Source organism: Homo sapiens, chromosome 11 (assembly GCF_000001405.40).
Source record: "Homo sapiens chromosome 11, GRCh38.p14 Primary Assembly".
Lineage (NCBI taxonomy): Eukaryota > Metazoa > Chordata > Mammalia > Primates > Hominidae > Homo > Homo sapiens.
In genome coordinates this window covers 66,716,925-66,738,614 of record NC_000011.10, presented here as the reverse complement: position 1 = coordinate 66,738,614, position 21,690 = coordinate 66,716,925, and the positions used below count along the sequence as shown (strand labels likewise).

At 50.2% G+C, this 21,690-nt stretch overlaps 1 protein-coding gene across 20 annotated transcripts in view, besides 1 other annotated feature; it reads left to right on the top strand.

Moving 5' to 3' along the window:
• SPTBN2 (spectrin beta, non-erythrocytic 2) overlaps window positions 1-21,690 on the top strand; it is a 62,186-nt gene that overhangs the window by 6,068 nt on the left and 34,428 nt on the right. For 4 of the 20 annotated variants that reach the window (NM_001411025.1, XM_047427496.1, XM_011545216.4 and 1 more), the window contains exon 1: window positions 19,752-20,172. In NM_001411025.1, coding sequence (NP_001397954.1) covers window positions 19,995-20,172 — 178 coding nt within the window. In that variant the 5' untranslated portion in view covers window positions 19,752-19,994. The other 16 variants (XM_047427493.1, NM_006946.4, XM_017018174.2 and 13 more) reach the window with 16 other exon arrangements.
• Window positions 17,782-18,739: an enhancer, noted in NCBI's record as "H3K4me1 hESC enhancer chr11:66487347-66488304 (GRCh37/hg19 assembly coordinates)". NCBI's record gives its function as "activates a minimal SCP1, AML or CMV promoter by ChIP-STARR-seq in primed H9 embryonic stem cells {active_cell/tissue: H9 hESC(primed)}" and the evidence as "EXISTENCE:reporter gene assay evidence [ECO:0000049][PMID:30033119]".

Genomic DNA, 21,690 nt, shown 5'->3' with positions numbered 1-21,690 from the left:
GAACCCGAGAGGTGCAGGTTATAGTGAGCTGAGATCACACCACTGCACTCCAGCCTGGCAACAGAGAGAGACTTCGTCTCAAAAATAATAATAATTTAAAAATAATAAAGTCAATTTGATTTTCATCTGTTCTGGCGTTAAGGCCACTTCTGACTTCTGTTTCCCCAACTTTCATTCTCACCAATTGGAAAGAGACTATGGGATCAAAGGTCTGAAAGGGTCAGGATGTCTCTATTCTTTTCCCATTTTACCTCTTTCTTTAGGTGTTATGTTTTAGTTTTCCATACCTAAAATAGGAAAATCCTCCCAGAAATATAGTTAAAATAATGTCTATGAAACAATCAGAGTTTTAGAATATTTAAATTAGAAGAAATCTTTTTTTTGTTTGTTTGTTTTTTTGAGACCGAGTTTTGCTCTTATTGCCCAAGCTGGAGTACAGTGGTGTGATCTCAGCTCACTGCAACCTCTGCCTCCCGGGTTCAAGTGATTCTCCTGCCTCAGCCTCCTGAGTAGCTGGGATTATAGGCATTTGCCACCACACCCAGCTAATTTTTGTATTTTTCATAGAGATGGGGTTTCACCATGTTGGCCGGGCTGGTCTCAAACTCCTGACCTCAGGTGATCCACCTGCCTCGGCCTCCCAAAGTGCTGGGATTACAGGCGTGAGCCACCGTACCCGGCCTAAATTAGAAGAAATCTTAAAGGTCATTTAATCTAGTATTTCCCAGCCAGAGAAGCAATATTTTTTTCAACTCATTTCCTTTATCCCCACCTCTTCTCCTGATTAGCTTCTCTCTACCTCCTTCCTCAACCTCTTTCTGGTATCCAAGGTAGAGTGTTGGTCCAGTTTACATAGTGTATTTAGTGTGTTTAGGGTTGGGAAACACTGACGTACTTCACCTCTCTATTTCATGCAGTAATCATTCTAACAGTCATAACAAGTTGGTATCTAGCTTTTACTTGAATATCTCGTGTTGGGAAATTTGCCGCCTCAGAGGCAACCCATTCCAGCTTTGGGCAGCAGTGGTTTTGTAGAGAGTTTTTCATTATATCAAGCTAAAGTCTACTCCCTTTCTCTGCCCCATGTCTTCCACCCATTGGTCCCAGATCTGCCTGTTGAACCCACAGAGAATCCATCTAATCCCTTTATAAAGGGGCGTGGAGAATACCCAGGAGTGTAATTGTTAACTTGTCACAGTGGCTCAGACCTGGCCTGAATGATTGTATTATAGATATCCTGTGCTTTGTATGCTAGCTGTGTTCCTAAAACATTGTATAAGCCAAGTTTTGTATGAATCAAATCATTTTAGACATACTGAGAAGTTGACTGTTTAAAAGAAACCCTGTTATCAGTTCTTTCATAAACTGAAGAATCCTTGTGTAATGCAAATAATCTCCCCCTTTAACATTTTATGCAAATCTAGATTTTCATACATTATACTTTACCTAAGGCAAGGTTTGCCTACATACAAAACAAGTAAAATAATGATAACAGTAATAGCTAACACTTATTGGGCCCTTATCTGGTACCAGGTGTCATGCATCTGACAAGCACTATTTAATTTCTCATCACAACTTCCTTCTGTAAAATTATCCCTGATTTACAGATGAGGAAGCTCATGCTTAGAGAAGTTAAATACCTTGTCCAAGTTCACACAATTAGAAAAAGATGAACCAGAATTCAAACACGGTCTGATATCTTCACACCCTGGAAGTTTCAGAAGCCATAGTAGTTGACATGACTAGCTACTAGCTGTGCGCCACAGCACAAGTAAATTAGGCTGAGATACAGAAAACTGACCTCAAATGTCTATAGCTTCAAAGATGTACACAAAACCTATTCTTCTCTGAGTGCCCTGGGTTTTCTAGTACAACTCAGTTTCTAGTGCAATTCAACTGAGGAACCCCGAAGCCTTCCCCCTCAGTTATTAGTATTAAACAGATGCCATCAAAATTTATTTTAAGCAGATGAGTGTAATCAGACACTTTTTCTTTTCTTGTTTTTCTTATTGCTGCTGAACAAATTAAGACACTTTCTCAAAGGTCTGTGTATTCACAGGGGTTAGTGGCATGAGCTTCTTGGAAGAAAAAGTGGTTCGTTATTGACTGATAAACTCAAAGGTATTGAGAATCATGGTTGGTCCCAGACTGCTCCCAGATGAGTCTGAATCATTCATATGGGCCCAGTTTTTAATGGCATTTAGGTTTGCAAGTTAAAAATCGTTTGAGAGGGATCGTCCATAAATAAGTGCTGGTTTGAGTCCCACCTGGAGAAAGATAAATGGATGTAATATTTCCATGTTCTCAAATCGGTTCTACTTTCTCCGATTTCATCAATAGCAGCATGCACTCACAGCATCGCTCAGCTTAGAACATCCCTTGGGGCTCTGAGAACCCACACTTTTCTACACTGTGTAAGGGAGCTCAAGGCATGACTGTCTTCAGTCCTCTGTACCCCACCTCCACCTACCCCCACCTGTTAGAATTCCCTATCTGATGTGGCACTTTATCTTGGCTCATTTGCAGACTTTTGCTTTCGAATACTTGATTATCCTTTGCAAACCATGCCCCAAGCTGGCCAAGACCAAGCTGACTTCATGGTCTAAGTAATCACAGGAAATCAGGTCAGTCCTCGGAAGCTATCAGGCTCCCCTAGCAAGCCACCTTTCCGACCTTTACTTGTGCAGCATGCTTGTTTACAATTTCAAGTCATAGACTCAAGTGAGGAAATATGTCATTTTCTTTATTTCTCAACTTAGTTCGTCAGCTCTCATTTCTACTGATAGCTAAAAAAGAATTAACTTCACCAATCAAGATAACGCAATCTGACATTTTGAGCTGGATGATTAAAAAAAATAAATAATGCAATCGTTGCAAGTTTGGTTTTTTGTTTTTGTTTGTTTGAGACAGGGTCCCACTCTGTTGCTCAGACTGGAGTGCAGTGGCATGGTCATGGCTTACTGCAGCCTCGACCTCCCAGGCTCAAGCAATTCTCCCACCTCTACCACCCAAGTATCTGGGACCATAGGCATACACCACCATGCCCAGATAATTTTTAAAGTTTTTGTAAAGATGGAGGTCTCACTATTATTGCACAAGCTGGTCTTGAACTCCTGGCCTTAAGTAATCCTCTTGCCTCAGCCTCCCAAAGTGCTAGGGCTACAGGCGTGAGCCACCATGCCCAGCCGTCAATCGTTGCAAGTTTTAAACTCAGTCTCTCAGTCTCTTAGGATTCTCCTCCCAGCCCCCTTCTCCTTAATTTTTTTTTTTCTTTTTTTTTTTGAGACGGTGTCTTGCTCTGTCACCCAGGATGGAGTGTAGTGGCACAATCTCGACTCACTGCAACTTCTGCCTCCTGGGTTCAAGCAATTCTCCTGCCTCAGCCTCCCAAGTAGCTGGAACTACAGACATGCGCCACCACGCCTGGCTAATTTTTGTATTTTTAGTAGAGACAGGGTTTCACCATGTTGGCCAGGCTGGTCTCCCACTCCTGACCTCAGGTGATGCACCTGCTTCAGCCTCCCAAAATACTGGGATTACAGGCAGGAGCCACTGTGCCCAGCTCTCTGCTGTAGATTTTAAAGGGTCTAATAAAGGGTTCCAAAGTGAAGAATTTAACTTTGATCTCTCTGTATCATCCCTATGCAGAGGGCAGTGCATCTACAAAGCACTTACTTGCTGTTGCCGTTGCTGCTGCTGCTGCTGCTGCTTAAGTGATGGAGATAGATTAGGGATAAAAGAAATGGGAAATACATCATTTGATATGAAAACATTTTGTTTCATCTACTGACAATAAGGACTCCTCTTCTCTCCCAAGGTCTTTTCTTCCATTCATTAGTTTATTGCACAGATATCTATATGTTTGCTCTGCTGGGGATACAACTGTGAAATAATTGTGTTCTCTTCCCTCATGGCGCTCATGCTGTAAAAGAGAACACAACCAATGGGCAGTGACAATCCAGTATGGAGTGCTCTCAGAATGCCCCTGTCCCAGACTTGGAGCTCAAGGAGGGCTTTCCAGAGGAAGTAACATCTAAATTGATACCTGAAGGATGAGTAAACATTGGGTGAATGGAAGAGGAAGAGCGATTCCAACCAGAAGGAAGAGCATGCTCAAAATCCCATAAACACTGGGGAAACTCTAAGAGGTTCCTTATGGTGAGGACACAGAGTGCCAAGTGCAAGTGGTGAGAGACCAGGCTGGAGAGGTAAGCAGGGTGTGCAAACTTGGTTAAGAACTTTGGACTTTGTCCCAAGGGCAGTGGGGAGCCACTGAAGGGTTTCCAGAAGAGGAATGATCTGTCTGATGTATTAAAGAGACTACTCTAGCCGCACAGTAGATAAGATGGCCCAGGAAGAGCGCAGAGAATAAGAAAAGGCCTAGACAAAACACCACCATCAATAACAAAATTAAGCGACAAGCAGAAAAGGAACTCACAAAAGAAACAGAGAAGGACCACAAGGGTTGAAGGAAAACCAAGAGAATGGCAACCCCATAACAAAAGAAGAAAATTTCAAGAAGCAGGGCATAATTAGAGTCAATTGCTGCCAAGAGGAGAAGTAAGACAGCAATTGGAAACTAACAGCTGGATTTTGCAATAGGATAATTTTTTTTTTTTTTTTTTTTTTTGAGACGGAGTCTCTCTCTGTCGCCCAGGCCAGACTGCGGACTGCAGTGGCGCAATCTCGGCTCACTGCAAGCTCTGCTTCCCGGGTTCACGCCATTCTCCTGCCTCAGCCTCCCGAGTAGCTGGGACTACAGGCGCCTGCCACCGCGCCCGGCTAATTTTTTGTATTTTTAGTAGAGACGGGGTTTCACCTTGTTAGCCAGGTGCAATAGGATTATTGACAACCTTGTTGAAAGCAGCTTTAGAGTGGAAGTTCTGTTGCATTGGATTAAGTCAATTGTATCAATGCTCATCTATCCCCTTCAATTACCATCTATTTCTACACTGATGTATTCCAAATGGGTATCTTAAGTCCAGACCTCCCCTTTAAAGTCCACGCCCATATACAATTGACTACTCAATATCTCCACTTGATTGGTTCAAAGATACCTCAAACCTAGGTTCCAAAACCAACAATCTCTCCACCCAAACCTGGTTTTCCTGGAGTATTCCTCATCTCAGCAAATAGTAGCTCCATTATTCCAGTTGCACAACTCATCCTTGACTAACCCTTTTTCCTCACCACCACCCCTGTATCTATCCCATCACCACATCTGGTTAATTCTTTCAACCTGTGCACTCCATCTCCACTGCCAGCAACTGAGTTCAAGCTACCATCTTCTCTGTCACCCTACCCACAGTGGTAGCCTCCTAACTGGTTTCTCACACATCTTTGCACCCCTCCATAGCAACTGGAGTAACCTATTCCCCCCATAGCAGCTACAGTGACCTTTTTAAAATACAAAGTTGATCCTATCACTTCCTTATTTCAACCTTTCAATAGTCTCTCAGGGCTCTAAAGGTGAAAATCAAAATTCTTTAAATAATGACATAAAAAGCTCTGCATGATCTAGCCCTTGCCTATCTCCCCAGTCGCAATTCTCTACACATTCCCTCTTCCCCTCTGTTTTCCCTGCACCCTGGTCTTTTCTCCATTTCTTTTGTATTGTTTTTTTTTTTTTTTTTGGTTGGTTGGTTTTTTGAAAAAGAGTCTCACTCTGTCCCCCAGGCTGGAGTGCAGTGGCACAATCTCAGCTCACTGTAGCCTCCGTCTCCTGGGCTCAAGAGATTGTCCTGCCTCAGCCTCCCGAGTAGCTGGGATTACAGGCACTTGCCACCACGCCCGGCTAATTCTTGTATTTTTAGTAGAGATGAGGTTTCACCATGTTGGCCAGGCTAGTCTCGAACTCCTGACCTCAGGTGATCCACCTGCCTCAGCCTCCCAAAGTGCTGGGATTACAGGCGTGAGCCACCGCGCGCAGCCTCTTTTCTCCATTTTTTTTTTTTTTTTTTTTTGAGAGACAGAGTCTTGCTCTGTTGCCCAGGCTGGAGTGTAGTGGAATGATCTCAGCTCACTGCAACCTCTGCCTCCCGGGTTCAAGCAATTCTCCTGCCTCAGCCTCCCGAGTAGCTGGGATTACAGGCGCATGCCACCACGCCCAGCTAATTTTTTTGTATTTTTAGTAGAAAAGGGGTTTCACTGTGTTAGCCAGGATGGTCTCAATCTCCTGACCTTGTGATCCGCTTACTTTGGCCTCCCAAAGTGCTGGGATTACAAAGTCGTGAGCCACTGCACCCGGCCTCTTTTCTCCATTTCCTATGTACACCATGTGTCCTGCAACATCAGGCCTGTTAGCCATATGCTCTGTGGCTAAGAACATGGGTTCAAGGGTCAGATTGGGTTAAAATCCCAGCTCTACCCTTGCCTGGTTTGATGACCCTGAGTAAGGTACTTAATCTCTCAATGTCTCCATTTCCTCATCTGTGAAATGGGGTTAATACTTACCTCTTGGAGTTGTTATAAAGGATTAAATGAAATGTTATGTGTAAAGTATTAGAAATACAGTTCCACGTTAATGTTAGTAACAGCTATTATTATTCCCCACTCTGTCTGGTTAATGCTTCTCATATTTCAGATCTCAGCTCAGGTGATCTGAGGTTATGACTCTGTTCAGTTCTCTCTTAACATCCTGAACTTTTCATTCATAACACTCATTATACTTTGTGGTTATATATCTGATGGGTTATTTTATTAATGTCTGTCAATCCCACCACAGGCTCTTCCAAGAGAAAACAGACAGTATCCATTTTACTCATCATTATATCCCCAGATCCCAGCACAGTGCCTGGTATATAATTAGCCATATAGTTTTTGCATAAATATTTGATTGAGCAGGGGCGAGGAAGTGAAGCCAATGAGTGCAAATGACTCAGGAAGACTGTGAACATAAAGAGCAAGGGGAATGCATGGAGGGAAGTCGGGGCTTCTTGATTATTTTTTAAGCTGGCAAATGCTTGAGCATGTTTAAATGCTGATGGGAAGGAACCAGCTGAGAGACAGCAGTGAGGGCCGTGAGGCTGCAGAAGGGGATGAGACTTAGCATAGGAGCCAGAAGAATCCATCTTAGGTGAAAAGAGGGACACCTCTTCCCTGGTATTGAAACAAGAACTGAGAATTCGGCTATGTATGTATGTTTGGTGGGCAGAGCCAAAACCTTTCCATGAATCTTGGTAATGTAAGCAGCAAATGTGGATTCACTGAGAAGCTCAACAAACTTGGTGGATATCATTCCATTCGCTTTTGCAACTCAAATAAGAAGGAACCAGATATTTTCTTCATCATTGACTGTACTGGTTCACTACAGAGCAAAATAACAAGTTTCCAAAGCAACCCAGTCACAGAGCTGAGATAGGTGATCTCAGTGTTCTCTTTATTCAATGTGCTTCCTCTCCAAATCGGGAAACAGTATGGGAAATAATACGGTAAAATCATAACGGCTGATACTGATTAAGTGCTTACTATGTGCTGCATATAATTCATTTACCTGCAATAATTCATTTGATGTTCCCCACATTATGGTGCCATTTTACATGTAAGGAAACTGAATCCTAGGGAGGTAACTTGCCCAAGGTCACATAGTCAGTGGGTGGCAGAACTATGTTTTAAACCCAAGGAGTCTGACTCCAAAATCAATGCTTTTAACCATTCTGCTATACTCCCTGTCTAGCAGAGAGGAAAGAACATATTAGGATTCAGAAGACCTGGAGTTTCTACCATGAACTAATTCTGTGAACTTGTACATTCACTTAGGTGTCTGAACATCAGTCTGTTCATCAATAGAATAAGAATGAGAATGTTTATCTTACAAGGCTTCTTGAAGGATTATGAAATGCTGAAAATAGGAAATTATAAAAGATATTATTTTGCTAATCATAAGACTTAATACCCTTGACTTCTAATTGGGTCACGATATTATAGGCTGTCATTGAGACCCTTAGTTCCCGTAACCAGTACAGCAGCAGCAGCTTGGTGGTTCCAGTTCCTTTGGCAGGGCAGCTGATTCTCTAATTTTTTTTTTTTTTTTTGGAGATGGAGTCTCGTTCTTGTTGCCCAGGCTGAAGTGCAGTGGCACAATCTCAGCTCACTGCAACCTCTGCCTCCCGGGTTCAAGCGATTCTCCTGCCTCAGCCTCCTGAGTAGCTGGGATTTCATGCCCACCACCACGCCTGGCTAATTTGTGTATTTTTAGTAGAGAAGGGGTTTCACCATGTTGGCCAGGCTGGTCTTGAACTCCTGACCTCGCGATCCACCTGCCTCGGCCTCCCAAAGTGCTGGGATTACAAGGGTGAGCCACTGCGCCTGGCCATGGGCAGCTGATTCTCATCCCATCAGCTTTAATGTCCCTGACCAAGTGTCCCTGATGACCGTCATGCACAGGTTGGTGCCTCCTTCCCCCGAACCAACCAACACATAATCCTACCTCTGGGAAGAGTTGCAGTTTATGCCCTTGTTTCTTTAATGCCATTGCCTGAAAGAGTGGCTATTAAAAATAATAAATAGCCTCAGGCCTGGCACGGCAGCTCACGTCTGTAATCCCAGCACTTTGGGAGGCTGAGGCAGGCAGATCACCTGAGGTCAGGAGTTCAAGAACAGCCTGGCCAACATGGCAAAACTCTGACTCTACTAAAGATACAAAAATTAGTCGGGCATGGTGGCATGCACCTGTAATCCCAGCTACTCGGGAGGCTGAGGCAGGAAAATTGCTTGAACCCGGGAAGAGGAGGTTGCAGTGAGCCGAGATCAAGCCACTGTACTCCAGCCTGGGTGACAGAGCACGACTCCGTCTCAAAATAATAATAATAATAAATAGCCTCAAATGCAGCTAACTGTGAGGTACACACCAGAGAGCCAGTTCCAGTTTCGTGGTAGAAGCACAGATATCAGAGCTAGGAGAGAACTTCAAAGTAATCTTTCAATGGAACTCCCCAACCCTCCTCCCAACCCATTTTATAGACTAGGAAAACCAAGGCGAGGTAGATGACACCACTAGTTAGGGTTGTCAAAACCATATCTGGAAAGTACTTCAATTGCACATATTTGTTTCAGTATGCATACCTTTTCAGAAAGGAGCAAAATCCTAAATTACCCATAAATCTATTATAAAACCTTAAATCCAATAATTCACTCAAAGCCCATTCTTTGAGTGCCCTTACTTGACCATTTCAGGCATTCCCTGGATAGAAACGGGCCCTCATCTTCAGGGGCAGTACATAACCTAACGGCTCTGTACAAAGCTCACCCTGTTACCACTGGCTCATCTCTGAGCTGAGTTCTCTAATCTGGAAGAACAGCACCTACTTCTCAGAGCTGGAGTGGGGGTGGGAGTGTCACATGAGATGATGCGCTTTTAGCACCCACCTGGCACTCTGTGAGTTTGTCATGATTTGGGCATAATTCCTTCCTCTCCTAAGCAGGCAGCAGTTCACCTTGGTTAAGGACCTTGGACCTTAGACCACTCAGACGCTAACAAACCAAGGAGAAACCCAGCCGTGTCAGGCCTAGAAATGTCTGCCCCCACCCCCACCCCCCTCAAGACGGTGACTAGGCCGGAATTCTCCTGGTTGATAAATGAGAGGAGCTGAGAAGCGCTGAGATGCCTGTTTGGAGCATCTGATCTGTAGAAGACGAATCTTCACTGTGCCATGGAGATGTTCTGGGAGGGAGAGCCGGCCCAGCTGCCTGAAGGAGGACGCGAGAGCGAGGGGACGGGTGAGAGGAATGCTTAGCGGAGACGGACTGGAGGTGCCCGGAGAGGAAAGGGGAACGGAGGCTGGATCTCGGGAAACCTCGTCGGCAGTGTCATTAGAGGAAGGATCGCGTGTCTCGGGGATACGGATTTTGGAGGAAAAGCAGAATAGGGACAAAGGTGAGGTGTCCGAACCGGGGAGATCAAGACCTGTAAGCTGTGGTGGGGGACCCAGGGACCAGCGAGGACGGGAAGGCGGGGTTTTGGGGGGACCCCGCACGGAAGGTGGCTGGGGGTCGGCAGCCGGCCTCGGAGCTGCTGCCGCGTTCGCCCCGAGGCAGGTCAACTACCCCGGGCGGGGAGCGGCGGGGAGCACCGAGAGGGGCCTCGGTTGCCATGGCGCTGGGCGGGGAAGGGGCGACTCGGGCCCCGCCCAGAGCCCCGCGGGGCCGCCGGCTCCAGATGGTCCCGGGCCTCCCGCGGGAGCCGGCGGCCTGCGGCAGGGGGAGGCTATTGTCCTCCTTCCGCGGCGCCGCAGTCCCGCCGCTCGCGCCCGCGCGCCGCCGCCACGCGCCCCGCCGCCGCCCGCCCCGCGCGCCCCCCGCGCCGCCTGCGCCCCGTGACAGCGCCCGCCCGCCGCCCGCCGTGCGCCCGGCCGCTGCCTGCAACCGCCCGTCGCGGCCGGGCTGCAGGCGCGGCAACTACCGGTGCGCCCCCGCCCGCCGCGCCCCCGCCCGCCCGGCCGCGGCTCCGCGCCGAGGTAGGTGCCGGCGCCCCGCCCGCTTTGTCCCGGCCCGCGGGGCGGCGCGCTTTGTCCGGCCGCGTGCGGTCGGCGGGGTCGGGGTCGGGGTCGGGGTCGGGTCCCGGCGGCCGGGGTGAGCCGGGGCGGGAGCAGGCGGGGACGGGACGGAGAGGGTCCCGTGCCAGCCACACAGGTACCGGGATGAGGGCGGTGGGGGCCAAGGCCGAGGGGGGGGGACTCGGGCCTCTCTGGAGCCGGGAGAAGAGTCTGGAACAGTTAGGGCTGACGGACACGTTCGCGGCGAGGCTGGGAGCGGGTCTGACAGCGCCGGCCCCTCGCGTCGCCGGGGCTGCGGGGCGGACGGGCCGGCGCCGGGCCAGGTGCTGGGGGCGCGCTCGGCCGCCTCTGCCCGGCGGACTGCGGGAGCCGGGCTCCCTCCTCCCCGGAGCCGCGTGGGCTCCTCCTCGCCTCTTTGGCAGCTGGCTCCACGCGCTCCCTTCTGTTCCCCCACAGTGTGTGGGAGAGGGGCACGCGGTTGGCTGTGGTGGCCGGAACTGGCCCGGGGAGAAAGCAGACGCTTCGGGCGGCGGGGAAGCGGCCGCGTGCGGCGTTTCTGTGGCCAGGAAGCTGATAGGGCTGTGCGGTCCGCCCCGCACGGAACTACCCAGCAAGGCCTGCTCGCGGGGGTGTTCCGGCTCCGGTGCCACAGTCGTGATTTACCTTCCACTCGCTTGGAACTTTACCCCATTGACCCCAGGACATTGCATGCTTGTGTGAGGTGCAGGTTTGCCCCGGTCTTAACCTGCTACATGTCGTCTGCCCTCCCCCTCTCGGAGCAGCCACAGTTCCAACGCTGGAGAGCCCGGGGGTTTCAGGTATGGGCAGAGGTAGCAACAAACCAGTTTTCCTTGAAGGTGAAGAGGGGCAGAGTGAGTTCCAAATATGTGTCTTAGCTTGAGGTGTGGGGCAACCTCTTGGCTTATTCAGAAAGGCAAAGGATTGGCCGAGGAGAAGATAGGATGGAGTTTACATTCTTCCCTTAGAGAAATTGATGTGACCCCGGGTTGGGGAAGGGAGATAGCAAGGGAGTGAAGAATCTGAATATTTGAATAAATCTGCCATAACTGGAGGATTCTAGAAGAGAAAATAAAATTTCAGTCCCCCTCTTCAGCCCAGTTCCTAACTTCCTCCGAGGGAATTGATCAGGAACACAGTCTGAGAGGTGGGTCGGGGTTTTGCTGTTCCTTCCTTCTGCCCTGGGCCCATCTTTCTCTTGCCTTCCTGGAGGCCCTGAGCTGATTTGTGACTTCTTTTTCGTTTTATCTCTCTGCCAGTCCACCCATTTATACTTAGAAGCAAATAAGATTTGAACTTTGCCAAAGTCCCCATTTCTTCTAATCTATTATTCATCTCACTGTCATTTGTTCAACTCTGCCTTCCCGTGACTTCTCTAGCTCTGCCGTTCTCCTCCCGCATATCTGCGGTTCGCTGTGCTGTTTCTTTCATTACCTGTGGTACCTACTCCATCTTCATCTTCCTCTCCCATCGCCTGAGCTCCTGAGGGGAAGTGATATTTGAGTTTAGTGTGGGGTAGGGCCTGAGCAGACCTAGAAGCTAACCCTGGGTCACACTCACCCCTGAAACTTTGTGTCTTCTCAACACTCATGGCTCCTCTAACCAATTCCAGCTGCTTCTCATCTTTGGACAAGGGTGGCCCTCAAAGTGTGGTCCCCAGACCATTAGCTTCAGTGTCACCCGGGAACAGGTTAGAAATGCACATTCCCAGGTACCACCCCAGAAGTACTGAATCGTAAACTGGGGGATGGGGGGGTGACCTGTGATTTAACAGTCCTCCAGGTTGTTGTGATTCATGGAAGTTTGAGAATCCCCAGACCTGAGCTGTTGAGCTCAACCCTGAAAGTATTCCAGCCCAGGAGCAGGTCTTCTCCAATCCCGTGTTCATTCTTTCCTTGAGCTTCTCTCTAGTCCTAAGAAAGACATTAATTCCATGGCCAAAAAAAATGAATTATAGTCAAGTCATTCAATATCTCTTTATTGAATATCTGTTGTACTGAGTCTGGAAAAACACCAAAACGAGTAAGACAGCCCTTGTCCTCAATGAGTTAAATGTGGAGCGGGCAGAGAGACACGTAAACAACTAACCGTAATGCGATGTGATAAGTACAATACTAGCTGCATGCCGAAGTGCCCTGGAAGCACAGAGGAGGGAATGATCAACTCTGAGGGAGGGAAATAATTCATCAGGAGCAGGATGTGGTGAGAGGAAGAATTAGGATACAAGGCAGCCTGTAGCCCAGGGTATAGGATTTCTAGCTTAACATGTCAGCTGAAAGAGAGGAAAACTGCCCTGGAGGATCGGCACGGTGAGCCTAGTCTGCCTCCAGCAGCGCCTGGAGTACATTCCAGCAGGACCCCAAGCCTGCAGCCGGCGGGGGTTGGCATTCTTCTAGCACTAACAGTGTAAGCTACTTGGGCCTGGCCTTGAGGTCAATTGCTAAGAATAAGGTATGATGAGACTGTAATCTGGATTAGCTACTGCACCACCCTATTGCCAGACTTCAGGAATCTGTGGAAGAGAGGACGATTGAGGATTCTCCAGCTTCCTCATGACAGGGGGTCATGAAGCTGGGGGGCTGCTGGCCGACTGAGGAAATGTGAGCATGGAGACCCTGGTCATAGGTGAGGAATGATCTACTCAGTGGCAAGAAACCAGCGCTGGATATGTGTAGGAGAAAAGCAAATAGAAATCAGTGGGAATCTAGAGATGGCAGCAGGGGACACAAGCTGAGAACACAGCATATTGTCCAAAAGGCCAGGGAGCTACAGAGCCAGAATGCTTGGAAACCAAGACCTAGAGACACAAAGGTAGCAGAGCCTCAGAGCCACATGCTGAACAATGCCAGAGAGCACCATTCACATGGAAGGCTGTGGAGTTGCAACATGGTGGCCCTGTGGGGGTCTGTGATCTAAGGACACCAGTGCCAGCTTGGTTCCTGATCCATATCACAGCATTTCTGGAAACTCAGAACACACAGCATGCATGCTTCAAATTCAATTTGGAGAGAGGAGCATTTAAGTGGCTGAGGTTTTATTTGGGGGAAGAGGAGGTTCTAGCTCCATACTTTCTCCTGGTAATGGTAGGAATCCGCAGAGACATTCTAACAGTTGGACTTCCCTGGAGGGTCTGGCTCCCAGTTGGGCCCCTTTGTAACTTTAACAAAACCCCCAATTCTGCATTTCTCCTGAGCCCTACTTCCTACCACCAGGGCTGTGGTCTTGGCAGTCTCTGGTTCTGGAAAGGAAGGAGGTATGGAGAAGAGAGAAGTGATGGGTGGTGAGACTCGGGTAGGTAGGGAGGTGTGTGCCCATGGACACACAAAGGCAGAACCTTTCTGGCTTCCATCATTAACTGGTTCCATGAAGCTGAACCTGACCTGCTTGAAGGCCAGGGTTGTCTGCCCCTCCCCTTGGGAGGACCAAGTTGGATCCCCAAAGATAAGCCTAAGCAGTCCATGTTTAGGTTCTGTGCAGCTTACAGGGGCCTCAGAGCTACTGTGGTTTGGAGACAGGGTCAGATGGTTAGCTTCTTTGAGTTTCTGCTCTTTGTGGAGTACAAAAATATGAGGCAGGGTTTGCAAACCTCAACAGTTGGGGCCAGGCAGGTAACATAGATATGTGAAGTGGCTGAGTCTGTAGACCCATCTAAAGGAATCCAAATCAGTCTTTTTTTTTTTCTGAGACAAATTTCACTCTGTCATCCAGGCTGGAGTGCAATGGCGCAATCTTGGCTCACTGCAACCTCCACCTCCTGGGTTCAAGCAATTTGACAGCCTCAGCCTCCCGAGTAGCTGGAACTACAGGCACCTGCCACCATGCCCAGCTGATTTTTTGTATTTTTAGTAGAGACGGGGGTTTCGCCTTGTTGGCCAGGCTGCTGTCGAACTCCTGACCTCAGGTGATCTGCCCACCTTGGCCTCCCAAAGTGCTGGGATTACAGGCGTGAGCCTCCGCACCCGGCCAAAAAATCAGTCATTTAAAAATAGCTTATTGGCCCAGCAAAACACTCCTGGGGGCTAGCCTTGGTAAGTTTGTGACTCCTAGTAAGGGGTCATGGAAACCGAAGCGGGGGCAGGGTGGAACTTGGGTGTAGGCATTTTTGTGGGCAGGTCTGTGCAGAGAGAGTTTGAGTGCTGGAGATGTCCATCCCAGAGCTGAGCTTAAGTGTGGCTGCTGGTTAGGAAGCACTAATCTGAGAGGCCGAGAGAAATGGAATTACACTTGGTCCTGAGGTGTGGACTACTTTCCCGTCTAGAAGCTGAGAGTATTAGGTGACGCTAGTTCAGGTCATGCCTTGCCCACAGCACTCTTTACTCAGGGTGATTCAACTCTGCCCTAGAATATATTTTTATATAAATATTTACAGAACAAATCCAGAGAATCTGTGGGGAGAAATGGTGGATTTTGAATGAGAAGAGTCCTAGGCCTCGTAGAAATTAAGCTCCCTTTCCTTCTACAGGGAATTAAAGCCCAAATCTACAAGCCTTAGACCTTAGCTCTCTTGCATCTCATTAATGCTCCTCCCAAGAAAAATCTTTGTGCACATTTTCTCTTTAGGAGAAAGGGGAGGGGCAGACAACCCTGACCTTCAAGTAGGTCAGGTTCAGCTTCATGGAATCAGTTAATGATGGAAGCCAGGTTCTGCCTTTGTGTGCCCATGAGTCTCACCACCTACCTGAGTCTCACCACCCAGCACTTCTCTATTCTCCAGACCTCCTTCCTTCCAGAACCCGAGACTACCGAGACTACAGCCCTGGTCCTAGGAAGTAGGGCTAGGAGAAATGCAAAATTGGGGGTTTTGTTAAAGTTACAGACCCAGTCCCCTCCTCCTCTCTTGAATGCTGCTGAATGCTAAATTACACAAGAACTTTGGACAGTAGAGGTTTTTTTTTTTTTATCCCCAGCAGATATTCTGAACCTCATTTTTTAGTTTTGAGGACAGAGTGTGTTTGCGTAAGTTAGAGCCGTAAGTAGTGCTGGTCCACATTTCCCCAGCCTGGGCCCTAGGCAGGAGCCACGGCTGCTCATCCGTCTGGGATGAGCCTCTAAGACGGTTGAGGAACCTGTGTATGTTCTATGTTCAAGAGGCTGCGATTAAGAGCGTGTCCCCCAGAGTCAGAAAGAACTTTTCAAAACCCGGCACTGTTTCTTCCGGCTGCGTGACCTTGAACCAGTAACTTAATGTCTTTTTTTTTTTTTTTTTTTTTTGAGGCAGAATCTCACTCTCTCTCGCAGGCTGGAGTGCAGTGGTGCAATCTCAGCTCACTGCAGCCTCCACCTCCTGGTTTCAAGTGATTCTCCTGTCTCAGCCTCCCCGGTAGCTAGGACTACAGTCGTGTGCTACCACGCCCAGCTAATTTTGTATTTTTAGTAGAGATGGAGTTTTACCATGTTGGCCAGGCTGGTCTCAAACTCCTGACCTCAGGTGAGCCACCCGCCTTGGCCTCCTAAAAGTGCTGGGATTACAGGTGTGAGCCAATGCCCCCAGCCAACTTAATGTCTTTTTTTTTTTTTTTTTTTTTTTTGAGACAGAGTCTCATTCTGCCGCCCAGGCTGGAGTGCAATGGCGAGATCTCGGCTCACTGCAAGCTCCGCCTCCTGGGTTCACGCCATTCTCCTGCCTCAGCCTCCCGAGTAGCTGGGACTACAGGCACCCACCACCACACCCAGCTAATTTTTTGTATTTTTTAGTAGAGACGGGGTTTCACCGTGTTAGCCAGGGATGGTCTCGATCTCCTGACCTTGTGATCCGCCCGCCTTGGCCTCCCAAAGTGCTGGGATTACAGGCGTGAGACACCGCGCCCAGCCAACTTAATATCTTTTGTGCAGCTTCCTCATCTATGAAATGGGGACAACAGTGGGCCCTCACCCCACAGGGAGTTATGGTGACGTGATGCATGTCAATGGCAGGGATATGTCACAGCCGACATTTATTGAGTACTTACTAACATTCTCTGTGGCAAACCAAAGGAAACAAAGCGGAGAGAAGCATACTGTGTCCTCCTTTGAACTCCTGGGCACTTGCTAAACAGTGTGTCAGTCTTCCTGGCGTATCATAACTTTTTCTTAACTCAAGAGCAGAATCTAGGTCTTTTTTTTTTTCTACTAGTCTCGCTCTAAGGTGCGCCCAGGTTCAAGCAATAATCCTGCTTCAGCCTCCTGAGTAGCTGGGATTACAGGCGCCTGCCACTACGCCCAGCTAATTTTTTGTATTTTTAGTAGAGATAGGGTTTCACCATGTTGGTCAGGCTGGTCTTGAACTTCTGACCTCAGGTGATCCACCCACCTCGGCCTCCCAAAGTGCTGTGATTACAGGCGTGAGCCACCGCGCCCAACAAATCTGGGTCTTTTTCTCTCAACTTGCCTACAGGGTATAGTAGGCCATCTTGGGTTGATCATGGGCTCAAAACAGTTTGTAGAAGGAAAGAATGCCACTTTCTAGTCATTATTGCCTGTGGGGCCCCATATGTGCTGCCTGCATTACCCTGGGCTGCACACTGCTGTCTGAAGCACTGAAGCCCATCACCCCTTTCTTCACCCCGCAAACCCGTCCCTCTCTGGCCCGAAGTCGTTGGAGCCTTTCCTGACCACCGCATTGCTCTGAGCTGCTGCTGCCTTCCTGCTTCACTTTCTGTGCTTCTGATGTATTCCCGTCCCCAGGCTTCCCAGGTGGCTTCCCCTCTTCCCCTGGGGGCTGATTTCCACTGAGCAGCCAACCGCAGCCTCTGGCCACAAGGAGAGCGGAGCACAGGTAGGGCAAGAAGACAGAAGGCCCCGGTGGTGAGTGGAGGGCTTGGTGGTCCCTGGACACCCCTCACTGGCCACATTCTCCTTGCAGGAGCAGGAAGCCGCCTACCACCATGAGCAGCACGCTGTCACCCACAGACTTTGACAGCTTGGAAATCCAGGGCCAGTACAGTGACATCAACAACCGCTGGGACCTTCCTGACTCGGACTGGGACAATGACAGCAGCTCGGCCCGCCTCTTTGAGAGGTCTCGCATTAAGGCTCTGGCAGGTGAGGTCAGAGGAGGGTCGAGGTGGGGGGATGCTGGAGGAGGCTTTGTCAGCTCGTCATGAAGAGCCCTTTAACTTTATGGGAAGACTGACTTTTCTTTCTAAGTGGGAGACCCAGAGCACTCTATCAATTCCCTGGTCCCCACATCCAGCCTCAAGAATAGGCTCCAGGCCATTCAGAACTTTCCCCAGCTCTTCCCCCCAAGCATAGAGACGCTTCACTGGCCCCTGGACTGGCTGAGCTGACTAAAACAGCTTCCCTCTCTGGCCTCAGCCCCCGGGTCATGTCCCTTCATCCTTCGGCACTCTCGCTCTTGCCACTCCTTTCTCCGCCTACCTCTCCCTTACCTGTCATGCCCTTGTTGTGTCTTCTTTGATTTCCACTGTCATTTCCCACACCTGTTCCCAGTCTATTATTCCCCTCTGCTCCCTCTCCACCTGTTCCTTCCACCTGCCACCTGTTACTCCCATTATCTCATCTGCCTGTTCCCTGAAGCAGGTTCCCTCCACCCGCTGCTGCTGGTTTCTGCAGCCGCCCATTCTCCCTGGTGTGCTCTCTGCCTGCCTTGGCTCCTACTCTTCCCTGCAGCCCAGGGCCTGGGCTCTCCGCTCTGAGCGGAAACTCGTCCAACGGCCTCCCTGTCTTCCGGGGGAGGAGTTGTCATGGCAACAAGAGTGCGGCTGCCACCTGACACCACCAGTGGCTGGCATGGGGCTGACTCACCCACACACCCCAAGGCCACCTACCCCGTCTGGCTTCCTCCTCCATCCCACTCTTGTCATTGCCATTGACCTGCTGGCTGCCCAGCCCAGCCCAACCCAACCCAGTCTGAGGGGTCCCAGCTACTCTCACCGAGAGGTGGTGCTCCGAGTGGGGGTGGGGGTTGGCCACTAGAAGAAGAGAGACTCCAAGGGGGAGGTTCCCAAACCTGGCCACATGTTTTACAGGATCACCCAGGGATGTTTTTTACAAATACAGGTTTCCAAGCCCCTCCCTAGACACAATAAGTTAGAATCTTGGTCCAGAACTCAGGATTTTTCAAAAGCTCCCCAAGTGATTCTTTTGAGCCAGCTCAGCACCAGTCTGAGGACCCCCTTGTGGCAGCCATAGCTTCCCAGGACCCCTTCTCATTTTCTCCTGGGCCTCTCTGTCCTTCTGGTTGGGTCTTCAGGCCGGCTGTGAAACACTCCTACCAGTGTGTCTATACATCAGAGAAGACAGAAGGTGTGGGTTATGGAGAATGTCATGTTTGGGGAAAATGTTCCTGGCACTCTGGTTTTGGATTCATGTAGCCTCTAGAACTGTCATGATGTCTATGTGTGTACAACATGTGCCACCCACCATGTTTGCACACATGACAAATGCCATCCAGGACTGTCACCATGCCTGTGTACATAGGACACATGCCTCCCAGGACTCTCACCATGCCTGTGTACATAGGACACATGCCACCCAGGACTGTCACCATGTCTGGCTGCACATAACTTGGGCCACCCAGCACTGTCACCATGTCTGTGCACACATCTGTGTGACCTCGTGCTCTCATTGGGTGTTTATCTCCACCACTGAACTGGGCTCTCCTGAAGAGGCAGCTCTGCATGGGATTTGCCTAGCACTGTGTCTCCAGCCAGTAGGTGTCAAATAAACACTGAATGAATGAAGATGAGGAAGGGCAAGTGTAGGCTGCACATGACAAACGCTGAAGCCCAGAGGAAGGGCGCCTGGTATATGTGCCCAGCAGCGGGGCGTCTGGGGGCAGGGATGGCCTGGTGGAGGATGGCCCTGGTGGGCCAGAGGGCAGGGAAGGGGCTGGCACTGGAGGTGGTGATAAGCAAGTGGAAAGGATGGTAACAGCCCTCGTTTCACAGATGAGGGAGTGAAGGAAAATGCCTCGCACAGTGCCTGGCTTTTCCTCTTTGAGGATTTCCTCGTTTCCAGATTTCTCTTTGTCTGTTTCTGAGCTGGGGCTCAAAGCCCACACATCCTGGAGAAGGACCTCCCAGAGTCACCCAGAGAGGGGTCGCCCTCGCTGTTCCTGCAAACCTCTGGGAAACAGGAGTTTGCATTGGGGGCCCCTCTCGTGGGTCCTGTGCATTGTTAGGTAACTTGGGGCCTGATGGGCGGGTCTTGAAGGCGCTGGCAGTGCCCTCCTCCGCCGCCCCGCAGGGCCTGGCCCTGCCCCCGCCGGCCACACTCCGCCTCTCTCCCCTCCCCAACACTGTCCAACCTGTTTGTCTGGAGCCGCCTGTCTCCTCTCACCGCAGCCAGGCGTGCCCCCACTCTCTGTCTCAGGAGTTCGGGACACCCCGTAACTCTTTTTGCCACTCCTTGAAATTCCCACCATTCTTGAATCCCCTGACGCTGGACTCCAGCCTGAGGTTCCACTGGGGAACAGAAACTGGCCCCCTGCCAGCGGGGAGCATGGACTCTGGGCCCTGGGCTCTGTAACTAGCAGCTGGCAGCATGAATGGGAACGGAGTGAGCAGGGTGCACGGGAACGGCCTGCATGAGGCCAGCGAGTTTTACTATGAGGCTGTGGAAGGGGCCCACAACCCCGGGGGCCTCCTGCTTTCACCAGCTGCTTTCATCAACCCTGCTCAGTATGCCAGCGTGCTGGAAGGACGCTTCAAACAGCTGCAAGGTGAGGCCCGGGGGCCCCCTGTGGGGACGACTGTGCCTGGGCGAGAGGGACCTGGGTGTGGGGAGAGTGGCCGGAGCTGAGGACCTGGCACAGGACACAGTGTGACTCCAGTGTTTGTGTTGGGAGACAACGTGATGCAGCTTAGAGGGGATAATTACAAGAGGCCGGAAAATACACAGATGTCAACGGAATGGGGAAAGGCTTGGACCTGCTGGCAGGGACCGTGTATGATGGCATGGGTGGGTGTGACTGCCGGGCCTTGGGGTGCTGCATGGAGCAAAGGCAACTAGCCATGGAGGGCGTGGGGGTGCCAGCACCTGGGGAGGCGCCAGCAGTGCCTCTGAGGTGGATCCGGATCTGGCGGTGGAGCGCTGGCCAGGACAGTTAGGGGAGGCGGAGGGGTGAGCCAGGCCCAGGGACCTGGAGATTGTGTTTTCCAGGCCTCTGAGCGTGTGTCTGAATGTGTACACGGGGGCAGTGTGTGTGGAAGCAAAGGGAGTGTCTCGAAGGAGAGGATCTGTGCAAACAGGCCCAGGTAGATGTCTGCGCAGGTGTGTGTTCACTCTGGCACAAGTGCTTAGGTGTGTTTTTGGGAATCACTGTTGTGTGTGTGTGTGTAAGGATCTAGGGATGCTGTGGGCGTCTTGTGACGTGACACTTGGTTTCTGGTGCTTGGCTTTGCCCATTTTCCTCCTAGTTGCCACTAATTCTGTGTCTTCTGACTGTGTGCCAAAATGGCCTCACCCCAGGGTGCCCAGCAGTAGGGCAGTGCCCCTGGATCCAGCAATGGCCTGTGACCCACGCTCCTCCTGGCTCAGATGGGGCCTGTAGACCTGCCGGGAGGCCCCAAGGCACCTTGGTTTCATGGGTGCTGGGGAGCATGGGGCCGTCCCATGTTATTAGGACCCCAGGTTTGGTGCCAGTATAGTGGCTGGAGGTGAAAGACACGGAGCGACGTGGGTGTGTTGCTGTGTCTTATGGGTGAGGTGCTTAGGAATGTGAGATTAAGGGATGAGTCTTTCCGGTTTCTGAGATGCTGGTGCTGAGACGGAAGCAAAAGTGACTCTTCAGACCCCAGCCACTTGGGTTGGGTCCTTGCACAGGGCTCTCTGTGGGAAAGTGGCAGAAATCCTCATCACCAGAGCAGTTTCTGATGCTTTCACTTTGTCACTTAGAACGTTCTTAATTTTTATTTTCCTACGGAACCTAGTATTTACTTCCCCTCTTCAGTAGCTCCCCTCCCCTGTGGGCTGGGCAGCAGGGCATTGCCTAACTTTTTTTTGAGATTGGTACCTAACTCTGCCTGGCTTTTTTTCCCCCATGTTTCCTGGCCTCACTGTTTTCCCAGTTCCCAACTCTCAACATCTTGTTCTTCTAAGCAATGGGGTGTTTATGTCCTGGAACTGGATCCCCTTGCAGCCAGCTGAATGTACTGTCCCCAACCCCCAGAAGCAGAGGAGCCTGCCTTTTCTTTAAGTTATCCAAGGACAGTAAGCTGACTCAGGAGGCCTGCAGCCT